Source organism: Homo sapiens, chromosome 1 (assembly GCF_000001405.40).
Source record: "Homo sapiens chromosome 1, GRCh38.p14 Primary Assembly".
NCBI lineage: Eukaryota > Metazoa > Chordata > Mammalia > Primates > Hominidae > Homo > Homo sapiens.
The window spans coordinates 202,010,433-202,021,955 of NC_000001.11; the positions used below are offsets into that span (position 1 = coordinate 202,010,433).

Here is an 11,523-nt window from a genome sequence, read left to right on the forward strand (position 1 = left end):
AAGATCCGGGCCAAGTGGCACTGAATATGCAAATCACCTGGGGCCAGGAGCCCAGTCTAAAGGCCAGGAAATCCCCTCCATCCAATGAGACACCAGCTCAGGTTACTGCAGGGGACACACTATAAAGCCCTGAGCTCAGGGAGGAGCTCCCTCCAGGCTCTATTTAGAGCCGGGTAGGGGAGCGCAGCGGCCAGATACCTCAGCGCTACCTGGCGGAACTGGATTTCTCTCCCGCCTGCCGGCCTGCCTGCCACAGCCGGACTCCGCCACTCCGGTAGGATTCCCCGCCTGTCATTCCCTAGCCCAGCTCTTGGGAAACTGCAGAGGGGTCCAGAGGATTTGCAGTTCTGAACCTGCACACTCCAGTCTAGGATCTCCGAGCAAGAGCGTAGGTGTCCTGAGGGTCAAAGAACAGAGAGAGATTGTCTCTGGGAAGGCAGAATGGCCATGACGCCGCTAGTCTGGCTCCAGGGCCCCAGAGATCTGAGGAGGGAAGCCCAGCTGGAGGCTCCTGTGGTCCTGCCCTGGTCTGAGATCTTGGAGCCCTTCTTGAAGAGACGGTGTCCGCAGAGTTGCTGATCTTCCTGCCCCTGGGGGCTACTCTTGCCCAGGGTTGGGCAAAGCAGAGTAGCTGGGAGTGTAAGGAGAGGACCCTCGTCCCCTCACCAACCTCATCCTCTCTCCCCCTACCCACAGGTAGCCTCATGGCTGCAACCTGTGAGATTAGCAACATTTTTAGCAACTACTTCAGTGCGATGTACAGCTCGGAGGACTCCACCCTGGCCTCTGTTCCCCCTGCTGCCACCTTTGGGGCCGATGACTTGGTACTGACCCTGAGCAACCCCCAGATGTCATTGGAGGGTACAGGTGGGTCTCAGCGGGGTGGGATGGGGCACGGAGTGGGAGACAGATCCATCTAAGGGCCTGTTAGACAAATGGGGGAATAGGCAGGGAGGAGGGTCTCTAGGCAAATTCCAGGGCTAGAGGCTGAGACTTAGTGACTGAGGTGCTGGGGGTTGTGGGGCTGTGACAGGCAGAGGGAGGTGTCAGATACCAGGACAAGGGTGTTGTGAATGCTACCTCCTGCCCCTACTCTTGGGATGGCTCCAAGGGCTGAGGTGTGAATCCCCAGTGTGCTCCAGGAATGGGGCTGTGTGGGCTGGGAGTGGTGGCTCACGCCTGTAATCCCAGCACTTTGGGAGGCTGAGCTGAGCGGATCACCTGAGGTCAAGAGTTCGAGACCAGCCTAGCCAACATGGTGAAACCCCGTCTCTACTAAAAATACAAAAAAAAATTTATCCCAGCGTGGTGGTGGGCACCTATAATCCCAGCTACTGGGGAGGCTGACGCAGGAGTATCGCTTGAACCTGGGAGGTGGAGGTTGCTGTGAGCCGAGATTGTGCCATTGCACCCCAGCCTAGGTGACAGGAGTGAGACTCCATCTCAAAAAAAAAAAAAAAAATGGGGCTGTAAGGTCTGCTGGGTGGCCTGAGCTGAGCCTGTTTCCCTGCCTGGCCCTTGCAGAGAAGGCCAGCTGGTTGGGGGAACAGCCCCAGTTCTGGTCGAAGACGCAGGTTCTGGACTGGATCAGCTACCAAGTGGAGAAGAACAAGTACGACGCAAGCGCCATTGACTTCTCACGATGTGACATGGATGGCGCCACCCTCTGCAATTGTGCCCTTGAGGAGCTGCGTCTGGTCTTTGGGCCTCTGGGGGACCAACTCCATGCCCAGCTGCGAGACCTCAGTGAGTCCAGGCCCCTGGAGGCTGGGGAGCAGCTCCACATGTTGAGCTGAGTCGAGTTCAGTGTGGCCGTAGGCAGGCCCTGGAGCTCTGGGCCAGCTGCACAGCCAGAGAGAGCCCTTGAGGGAGGGATTAGGGGAGTGTGACCCTTCCTTCCTTCCTTGTCAGCTTCCAGCTCTTCTGATGAGCTCAGTTGGATCATTGAGCTGCTGGAGAAGGATGGCATGGCCTTCCAGGAGGCCCTAGACCCAGGGCCCTTTGGTGAGAACCCGTTTTCTCCTTCCTTCCCCAGCCTGTCTTGTCCCATCCCTGCCCCTCCACAGAGTGCTAGAGATGACCCCCTCCCCAGACTTCTTCCTCCCTCAATTAGAAAAATTGCAGCAGGTCATCAGACCCATGGGCAGCATCACCTGTCCTGGTCTGGTCCCCTGAGCCCTCTCTGAGTTCTCACCTCCTCTTCCCAGACCAGGGCAGCCCCTTTGCCCAGGAGCTGCTGGACGACGGTCAGCAAGCCAGCCCCTACCACCCCGGCAGCTGTGGCGCAGGAGCCCCCTCCCCTGGCAGCTCTGACGTCTCCACCGCAGGTGAGAGCTCTCTCTGGGCCACAACCTCCCTTCCCCGAAGTGTCCCTTGTTCCCTCTGGCTCCCAGCACCATAACTCAGGCCTTCTGGCAGGAACAGGAACAGGCTGGGAAGTGTGTCCTGAGAGCCAGCAGCGTGGTTGAGCAGAGGGTGGGCCGGCAGGGGACTTACTCTGACCCCGCCCCCCAGGGACTGGTGCTTCTCGGAGCTCCCACTCCTCAGACTCCGGTGGAAGTGACGTGGACCTGGATCCCACTGATGGCAAGCTCTTCCCCAGCGGTGAGTCGAGGGAGGTCCCCAAGAGGGCGTCCCATTTAGCAATGCACAGGGGGCCCGGCTCTTCCTGCAGCCTTTTCCTGTAGAGGGGCTACTCTCCCTAACTCCCCTCTTGCCCCTCCTTGACCTTCCACCACCGTCCCCACAGATGGTTTTCGTGACTGCAAGAAGGGGGATCCCAAGCACGGGAAGCGGAAACGAGGCCGGCCCCGAAAGCTGAGCAAAGAGTACTGGGACTGTCTCGAGGGCAAGAAGAGCAAGCACGGTGAGCTCCGGGGGCACGTGGGTCCTCCCTGCGCCGGGCTGAGCGGCTTCCTGGGGCACTGCGGGTTGTTGCAGGTATCCCTTCTCCCGTTTTCTCTGGCCTCCGCATGGCCTTTGGTAAGGCTGTGCACAAGCTGGGGGCTCTATGGTATCGGTCACCACCTAATTGCAGAGCCTGGCTTGGTGGTCCTGGAGAGGAGGAGGAAATAAGGCTCCCAGTGGGAGGCTCATGGTACCAGAGTCCTGTCCACTGACTCCAGTGTCCTGTCCACTGACTCCAGTTCTCTCTGCACTTGGCCACTGTCCTGCCCTCTGGGACACCCTCAATGTGAGGAGGCAGCTGGTGGGTCTTAGGTGGGCTGAGGAGAAAAGCAGTCACTGCAGTACCCGCACAGAGGGCACTGCGGGGTCTCTGGAGAGGCTTGCTGCATGCTGTGGCCAAGTCAGCAGTGCACTGGGGCGGGCAGGGCTGGCTGGCCTTGGGTGAGAGGGGACACCTGGATGGCAAACTGATGGAGGCTGGCCTTGCAGCGCCCAGAGGCACCCACCTGTGGGAGTTCATCCGGGACATCCTCATCCACCCGGAGCTCAACGAGGGCCTCATGAAGTGGGAGAATCGGCATGAAGGCGTCTTCAAGTTCCTGCGCTCCGAGGCTGTGGCCCAACTATGGGGCCAAAAGAAAAAGAACAGCAACATGACCTACGAGAAGCTGAGCCGGGCCATGAGGTGAGCTGGCGGCCAGGACCCTCACGATACAGCCGGACATGGGGACAGGCGCTCACACTCCCACCGCCCTCTTTCTGGCTGCCACTTGGCTTCTTGCAACAGGGCTGAGTCCTTAGAGTGAGGACAACATCTGGGTTGGTCTACTTCATGGATTAAATGACAACATGGAGAAAGTATTAGCCTGGCAGACAGCAGACACAGTGCACTTGAGCTAGCAGCAACATTTCTTGTATCGCCTGTGAGGCTTGTCCTCAGGAAGGCACCTGGAGAGTGGGAAAGGGGGCAGGAGCCGTGCCCACCCAGGGCCTGGCTTTCTCCTCGTTGAAGCACTTAGGTTGTTTTTCTCTGGGCCTCAGTTTCCTCCTGTGTCCAGGAGTACACTAGATCATCTTAAGATCCCGTCCAGCCCTAAAATCATGTACTTACTTTTTTTTTCTTTTTCTTTTTTAAATAGAGGCAAGGGTCTCTACGTTGGCCAGGCCGGTCTCAAACTCCTGGCCTCAAATGACTCTCCTGCCTCGGCCTCTCAAAGTGCTGGGATTACAGGTGTGAGCCAGTATGCTTGGCCTTTTCTTTTTTCTTCTTCTTCTTTTTATTTTTCGAGACAGGGTCTCGCTCTGTCACCCAGGCTAGAGTGCAGTGGCACAATCTTGGCTCGCTACAACCTCTGCCTGCCGGGTTCAAGTGATTCTTGTGCCTCAGCCTCCAAGTAGCTGGGATTACAGGCACCTGCCACCATGCCCAGCTAATTTTTGTATTTTTAGTAGAGACGGGGGTTTCACCATGTTGGCTAGGCTGGTCTCGAACTCCTGACCTCAAGTGATCCGCCCGCCTCAGCCTCCCAAAGTGCTGGAATTACAGGTGTGAGCCACCGTGCCCAGCTCCCTGGCCTTAAAAGTCATGTAATTTAATGATCAGACCCCAGTCACAGCCATAGGATACAAAGAAGCAAAGGCAAAGAGCCCTGTGTCCTGGGCACGGTTACAGGCCAGTGTAGGGAAAGAGCTTCTGCTTGCCAGTGTGAAGAACAGAGGAGTTTAGGAAGTGTGAGTCAGGCTCAGCTTAGTCAGGCAGAGACCAGTGGGCATGGGTTACCTGGGGGTAACGCGGGCCAGGTGGGCGGGCTGGCAGCCTGGGGCCCATTTCCTGCCAAAGCACCTCTGACCATCCTTCTCTTCACCCAGGTACTACTACAAACGGGAGATCCTGGAACGGGTGGATGGCCGGCGACTCGTCTACAAGTTTGGCAAAAACTCAAGCGGCTGGAAGGAGGAAGAGGTTCTCCAGAGTCGGAACTGAGGGTTGGAACTATACCCGGGACCAAACTCACGGACCACTCGAGGCCTGCAAACCTTCCTGGGAGGACAGGCAGGCCAGATGGCCCCTCCACTGGGGAATGCTCCCAGCTGTGCTGTGGAGAGAAGCTGATGTTTTGGTGTATTGTCAGCCATCGTCCTGGGACTCGGAGACTATGGCCTCGCCTCCCCACCCTCCTCTTGGAATTACAAGCCCTGGGGTTTGAAGCTGACTTTATAGCTGCAAGTGTATCTCCTTTTATCTGGTGCCTCCTCAAACCCAGTCTCAGACACTAAATGCAGACAACACCTTCCTCCTGCAGACACCTGGACTGAGCCAAGGAGGCCTGGGGAGGCCCTAGGGGAGCACCGTGATGGAGAGGACAGAGCAGGGGCTCCAGCACCTTCTTTCTGGACTGGCGTTCACCTCCCTGCTCAGTGCTTGGGCTCCACGGGCAGGGGTCAGAGCACTCCCTAATTTATGTGCTATATAAATATGTCAGATGTACATAGAGATCTATTTTTTCTAAAACATTCCCCTCCCCACTCCTCTCCCACAGAGTGCTGGACTGTTCCAGGCCCTCCAGTGGGCTGATGCTGGGACCCTTAGGATGGGGCTCCCAGCTCCTTTCTCCTGTGAATGGAGGCAGAGACCTCCAATAAAGTGCCTTCTGGGCTTTTTCTAACCTTTGTCTTAGCTACCTGTGTACTGAAATTTGGGCCTTTGGATCGAATATGGTCAAGAGGTTGGAGGGGAGGAAAATGAAGGTCTACCAGGCTGAGGGTGAGGGCAAAGGCTGACGAAGAGGGGAGTTACAGATTTCCTGTAGCAGGTGTGGGCTTACAGACACATGGACTGGGCTGGGAGGCGAGCAAAGGAAGCAGCTGAGACTGTTGGAGAACGCTTACAAGACTTCATGCAAGCAAGGACATGAACTCAGAACACTGAGGTCAGAAGCATCCTGCTGTCATGACACCGCTCGAGTGACCTTGACCTTGACCAAGTCTGTCCTGTTTAGGACTGATTTTTCCTATTAGGCTAGGGTTTGGACCTGATGTTCTCAAGATGTCTAGAATTGCATGGCTGGCCTTGTGGAATAGATGGTTTTGCATTCCAGCCAAGTGTGCTGTAAACTGTATATCTGTAATATGAATCCCAGCTTTTGAGTCTGACAAAATCAGAGTTAGGATCTTGTAAAGGAAAAAAAAAAAAAAACAAAACAAAATGGAGATGAGTACTTGCTGAGAAAGAATGAGGGAAGGAGTTGGCATTTGTTGAAAGTGTAGTCTTTTTCTCTTTTTTTTTTAATTGCAACTTTTACTTTAGATTTAGGAGGTCGTGCGCAGGTTTGTTACATGGGTATATTGTGTGATGCTGAGCTTGGGATGCGAATGATCCTGTCACCCAGGTAGTGAGTATAGCACCCAGTGAAACTGTAGTCTCATGCCAGGCACTGTGCTAGCCCACTCTGGCTCATTTAATCCTCTCCTAAGAAGAGAGGAGACACAGCGTCCCCATTTGACAGATGCAGAAAGAGGTTCCACAGGTGTGCCTTGATTCTGTCCTAAAACCGTTTCCCGGAAGCTTTTCCTGGTGTGGGCGCTTCTAACCTAATCCTCAATCGATTCCAGAACTATTACTCTGTTTCCACAGTGATACTGTGTCTAGGTTTTAGGGAGGACAGTTCATTGATGTTACTTAAGAATGCTTTCCAGGTGGAAAGTTCCTTAAGTTTGAGGCTTCAAATTCCATACAGCACATTAAAATCCCATTCATGAGTTTGAAATACTGCTCTGTTGTCTTGGAAATACCAATCAGATTGTTGGCTGAAGTGATGTGGATAAAGAAGGGATCTTAGAAAAACTAAAGCTTGTGTGTGGATTTCTGGAAATGCAGCTTGCTCTGGAGAAGCAAGGAATGGTGGAAAAGGAGAGTGGGGAAGTTGATTGGAGAGGAAAGTGAGGTCATGAGAGAAACCAGAATCCTGGAGCCATTTGGAAAAAGGCTTTTACTTACATTTCCCTTCTGAAGTGTGAGCCAGTTAGACAAAGGGGATGCGGGCCAGGGCGTAGGTCTAGCCTCAGAAGCTGGGGAAGCTTTCACAGCTACTTAGTCTAAAAATGACCCCATTTCTTGGAAATTATGCATTAGACTCTGGTCTAGTTTCCCTAGCCACAATATCTCGGGGTCCTTGCACCCTTAAAAGAGGTGACCCAGCTGGGCGCGGTAGTTCACGCCTGTAATCCTCGTACTTTGGGAAGCCAAGGCGGGAGGATCACGAGGTCAGAAGATCGAGGCCATCATGGCCAACACGGTGAAACCCCGTCTCTACTAAACATACAAAAATTAGCTGGGCATGCTGGCACGCGCCTGTAGTCCGAGCTACTCAGGAGGCTGAGGCAGGAGAATCACTTGAACCCAGGAGGCGGAGGTTGCAGTGAGCTAAGATCATGCCACTGCACTCCAGCCTGGTGACACAGGGAGACTCTGTCTCAAAAAAAAGAAGAGAGGTGACCCAGTGTGGCCTGAAGTCACCTAGCCAAGAAGTGGGGGAGGGGCCTCTAGAGCCCGGGACATGCTTGTTCAGCCTCCCTTGACTCCCAGCCTCTTCAGCTTCTAAAGGAGATCCTAGCAGGGAGGAGGGCTGGGAATATGGCGCTCAGCCCCTTCACCCTCTTCTGGAGGGCTGGGGGCAGGTGCTGCCCGCTGCGTGCTGACCTTTGCCCTGCCATTTGCAGTTTATGAGGCGCTTTCCTCATCCCATTATCTCATTTGATCCGCCCCACAGCTCGCTGAGGAGACCAGGTGTCCCCATTTTACTGACAAGGCTAGTGGTGGGCTGAAGTCACTGACTGGGTGAGAGCGGGGCCAGCTCACAGCATGCCTGCCTCCACGCTGCAGCTCAGTGAGACCACCTGGGCAGGTGGCCTCTGCAGGGCAGCGCCTGGGACAGCCTGGAAGACGGCAGCTCTGGGAGGGACGCCTTTCTCCCCAACAGTTCTCTGCCCTCTCACCCCTCAGGATGCTGCAGAGTCCTGGCACGGGCCCCTGGGCTGGCCTCCGTGCTGCCCTCTCTGTCGGGCACCAGTCACCCTTACCCCGACTCTCACCAGCCCAGGGGCCTCCTAGCAGGAGACGGCCCGGTCTCTCGCCCACCAGAGTCTGCATCCCCTCAGGTGTGTCCTGGGCTGGGGAGTGGGGGTGGGGAGGAAGCCACAGGGCCGGGCTGTTTATATCCCGCCCTGCCGGAGCTGCTGGTCACCTCTTATCTGCTTCTGTGGGATTGGGTGTGTCGCTGAGCAGGTCAGAGGGAGGTCACCCCTCCCGTCGTGTTTGGGTGTGCCTGAGGAGGGGCTGGGGTTGGCCCCCTGGGACAGTTCCTGGCTTATCCCACAGCCCCACCTGTCCCACCAATTCTGGGGAAGTCTGGCTTCTCCTGGGGGAAGTGGGTGAAGGGGTTGCATTTCTGAGGAGTCTGGTTTCAATCTGCTCTCTCTCTCTGCTGTTGTCTGTTTACACATCTCTCTCTCTCGCCGGGCTGTGAGCACCTCTGGGCAAGTGCTGGGGCTTACTCACCTCAGCACCTTGCACAGCGCCTGGCACAGAGGAGGTGCTCGATAAATATTTGCTAAATGGCCCCGTGACTCTCCCTGCCCTGGCCACTACCTCCCCCACACACCACACACATTCATACACACTCATGGGAACCAAAGTCACACACACTCACACTCACAAAGATAAATATTCACAAGCCCTCACTCACATGCCCCTGCACGCACTGCAGACGCTGCCTGCTCTCACACACTCGCATGGACCGTATTCACAACCTCACACACTTGCACACACCAGCGCACGCAACACACTCCCACCTCACAGTCTCACATAGCCACACCCAGGCCTGCCTGCACGACTCACCTCCTCCCTCGGGGTCCTTCTATGAAGCATTTCCTGACCTCCTCTTTGGCCCTTTTCCCCCACCAGATGGGTTCAGCCCTTGCCTCCAGTCAGGACAGGCCTGGTAATTTGCAGAGCCCAGTGCAAAGTGAAAGCCTGGGCCCTTGTTAAAGAATTATTAGGCTGGGCGCAGTGGCTCATGCCAGTAATCCCACACTTTGGGAGGCCGAGGCGGGTGGATCGCCTGAGGTCAGGAGTTTGAGACCAGCCTGACCAACATGGCGAAACCCCATCTCTACTAAAAATACAAAATTAGCTGGGCGTGGTGGTGTGCGCCTGTAATCCTAGCTACTCTGGAGGTTGAGGCAGAAGAATCGCTTGAACCTGGGAGGCGGAGGTTGCCGTGAACCAAGATCATGACACTGCACTCCCGCCTGGGCAACAAGAGAGAAACTCCATCTCAAAAAAAAAAAAAAAAAAGAACGATTAAAAATTTCAAAATGGCAACAGCAGAGAAGAGCATGAACCATGCGCGAGGTGCAGTCCTCCAAGCGCAGGGCCCTGTGGGACCACCGCACAGGTTGCACTCAGGAAGCCACCCCTGCCTCCATTTGCCACTGGCCTATAAGAGCTCCACTGAACTACCCACCATGCCTTCTACTACAGATATGTTTGCCACAGTCACAAAAAAATCAACAAGTTGTCAAGTTTTTTGCTTTTTGTTTTTGAGACGGAGTCATGCTCTGTCCCCCAGGCTGGAGTGCAGTGGTGCCATCTCGGCTCACTGAAACCTCTGCCTCCCGGGTTCACACCATTCTCCTGCCTCAGCCTCCTGAGTAGCTGGGACTACAGGCGCCCATGACCACGCCCGACTAATTTTTTGCATTTTTAGTAGAGATGGGGTTTCACTGTGTTAGCCAGGATGGTCTCGATCCCCTGACCTCGTGATCTGCCTGCCTTGGCCTCCCAAATGTTGGGATTACAGGTGTGAGCCACTGCGCCTGGCCCAAGTTGTCAAGTTTTTAAAAGTAGGAAAATTTTCTCAGAAAAAAAACCTGAATTTGTGGCTTGTCTTTTTAAAAAATTGGCTGGGCCAGGTGACTCACGCCTGAAATCGCAACAAGGGGAGGCCGAGGCAGGAGAAGTACTTGAGCCCAGGAGTTCAAGACCAGCCTGGGCAACACAGGGAGACCCTGTCTCTACAAATAATTTTTTAAAAATTAGCCAGGAGTGGTGGTGTGCACCTGTGGTCCCAGCTACTCAGGAGGCTGAGGCAGGAGGATCACCTGAGCCTGAGAGTTCAAGACTGCAGTAACCTCTGATTGCACGATCCAGCCGGGGCATGATTTGTAACTTTGAGCAAGTTACCTTCCTTTTCTGAGCCTCAGTTTCCTCATCTACAAAATGAAGATTGTTCTACTTGGAGTGCTTTGTCCTACAAGTCACCAGAGTGAGAACTGGTCTCAAAAAAATTTAAAAATAAAGATAAATGTGAAAAAAAGAATCAGAAAATTTGGCCCAGCTAGGTCAGCTCTCCCTGGACCACAATCTGTCACAGTGGAGTGAGGCTGCTCCATATAGTCTTTGCATGTAGTTTACCACCATCTCCACCATGCAGTACCTGTGTGGCCCCAGAAGCACTAAGTTTTCAACCCCTGGTTAAAAACATCTATGCTTCTCTCACCTACTGCTCCCAGACTAGGAGCATGTTTTGTACCCCCTCTACTTGGCAAAAGGATGGCTCGTTGGGCATGTCAACAAGTAAATTAATGAAGTGGGTTGGGGGGGATGGGAGGATGCTCATGAGTATGGAAGCCCAGCCAGTTCCTTCTATTATGAGGGCCTGGGGTGGACACCAGAGCCTCTGATACTTACTGGGAAGTATTGAGTTTTCTTACTTCCAAAACCATTGACTTTTAACCCAATTCAGTGCATGGCATAGCATGGGCCCTCATGCACACTGGACTATCTCTGCATGGTCTTCTGGGCTGTAAATGGCTGCTTAACCCAGAGTGTCCAAAGATGCCACCACTGCCCAGCAGTCTTGTCCCATCCCCTCTCTCTGCTGAGGGAGGAGAGTTGGCAGAACTTCATTTGTCCATGTAATAGCTCTGCATATATTTCCCCCTCAACCCATCTCTTTTCAGGAAGAACAAGCACCTTAAATTAGTCCTTACATCGGCCAAGTGCAGTGGCTCATGCCTGTAATCCCAGCACTTTGGGAGACAGAGGCAGGCGGATCACCTGAGGTCGGGAGTTCGAGACCAGCCTGACCAACATGGAAAAACCCTGTCTCTACTAAAAACACAAAATTACCCAGGCGTCGTGGTGCATACCTGTAGTCCCAGCTACTTGGGAGGCTGAGGCAGGAGAATCGCTTGAACCTGGGAGGCAGAGGTTGCAATGAGCCGAGATCACGCCATTGCACTCCACCTGGGCAACGAGAGCGAAATTCCGTCTCAAAAAAAAAAAAAAAAATTTACTCCCTACATCATAACTACCAGTGATTTGTAGGACAGAGCACTCAATGTAGAACACTCTTCACTTTGCAGATGAGGAAACTGAAGCTCAGAAAAGAAAGGTAACTTGCTCAAAGTCACAAATCATGTTGAATGGAGCCTGAGCTTCATGTTGACAGCTGACCGCTTACTGAGTATCTACTAGGTGCCAGGCAATGTGTCAAGTTATTGCTTTACATACATCATTCATTCTCTCTGTGTTCATTAACTGTCTGCTGTGTG

The 11,523-nt window shown here is 54.0% G+C and overlaps 1 protein-coding gene across 3 annotated transcripts, besides 4 other annotated features; it reads left to right on the forward strand.

Annotated features, from left to right (window-relative positions):
* Window positions 121-1,054: an enhancer, noted in NCBI's record as "H3K27ac-H3K4me1 hESC enhancer chr1:201979681-201980614 (GRCh37/hg19 assembly coordinates)". NCBI's record gives its function as "activates a minimal SCP1, AML or CMV promoter by ChIP-STARR-seq in naive H9 embryonic stem cells {active_cell/tissue: H9 hESC(naive)}" and the evidence as "EXISTENCE:reporter gene assay evidence [ECO:0000049][PMID:30033119]".
* Window positions 155-6,751, forward strand: ELF3 (E74 like ETS transcription factor 3). Of its 3 annotated transcripts, none has more exons than NM_001114309.2 (9): window positions 155-388; window positions 697-867; window positions 1,525-1,746; window positions 1,912-2,004; window positions 2,208-2,327; window positions 2,515-2,604; window positions 2,750-2,866; window positions 3,397-3,592; window positions 4,777-6,751. In NM_001114309.2, exons 2-9 carry the CDS (start codon window positions 705-707, stop codon window positions 4,889-4,891), a joined length of 1,116 nt encoding a protein of 371 aa, NP_001107781.1. In that variant the 5' UTR covers window positions 155-388; window positions 697-704; the 3' UTR covers window positions 4,892-6,751. The 3 variants fall into 3 exon arrangements, with proteins under 3 accessions (NP_001107781.1, NP_004424.3, XP_005244999.1); NM_004433.5 differs by having other exon boundaries at window positions 155-274; XM_005244942.4 differs by lacking the exons at window positions 2,750-2,866; window positions 3,397-3,592; window positions 4,777-6,751 and having other exon boundaries at window positions 155-274; window positions 2,419-2,604.
* Window positions 1,055-1,989: an enhancer, noted in NCBI's record as "H3K4me1 hESC enhancer chr1:201980615-201981549 (GRCh37/hg19 assembly coordinates)". NCBI's record gives its function as "activates a minimal SCP1, AML or CMV promoter by ChIP-STARR-seq in naive and primed H9 embryonic stem cells {active_cell/tissue: H9 hESC(naive and primed)}" and the evidence as "EXISTENCE:reporter gene assay evidence [ECO:0000049][PMID:30033119]".
* Window positions 2,799-3,998: an enhancer, noted in NCBI's record as "CDK7 strongly-dependent group 2 enhancer chr1:201982359-201983558 (GRCh37/hg19 assembly coordinates)". NCBI's record gives its function as "activates an origin of replication core promoter dependent on BRD2, BRD4, P300/CBP, MED14 and CDK7 cofactors, with strong dependence on CDK7, by STARR-seq in HCT116 cells {active_cell/tissue: HCT116}" and the evidence as "EXISTENCE:reporter gene assay evidence [ECO:0000049][PMID:35650434]".
* Window positions 7,501-8,269: an enhancer, noted in NCBI's record as "H3K27ac-H3K4me1 hESC enhancer chr1:201987061-201987829 (GRCh37/hg19 assembly coordinates)". NCBI's record gives its function as "activates a minimal SCP1, AML or CMV promoter by ChIP-STARR-seq in primed H9 embryonic stem cells {active_cell/tissue: H9 hESC(primed)}" and the evidence as "EXISTENCE:reporter gene assay evidence [ECO:0000049][PMID:30033119]".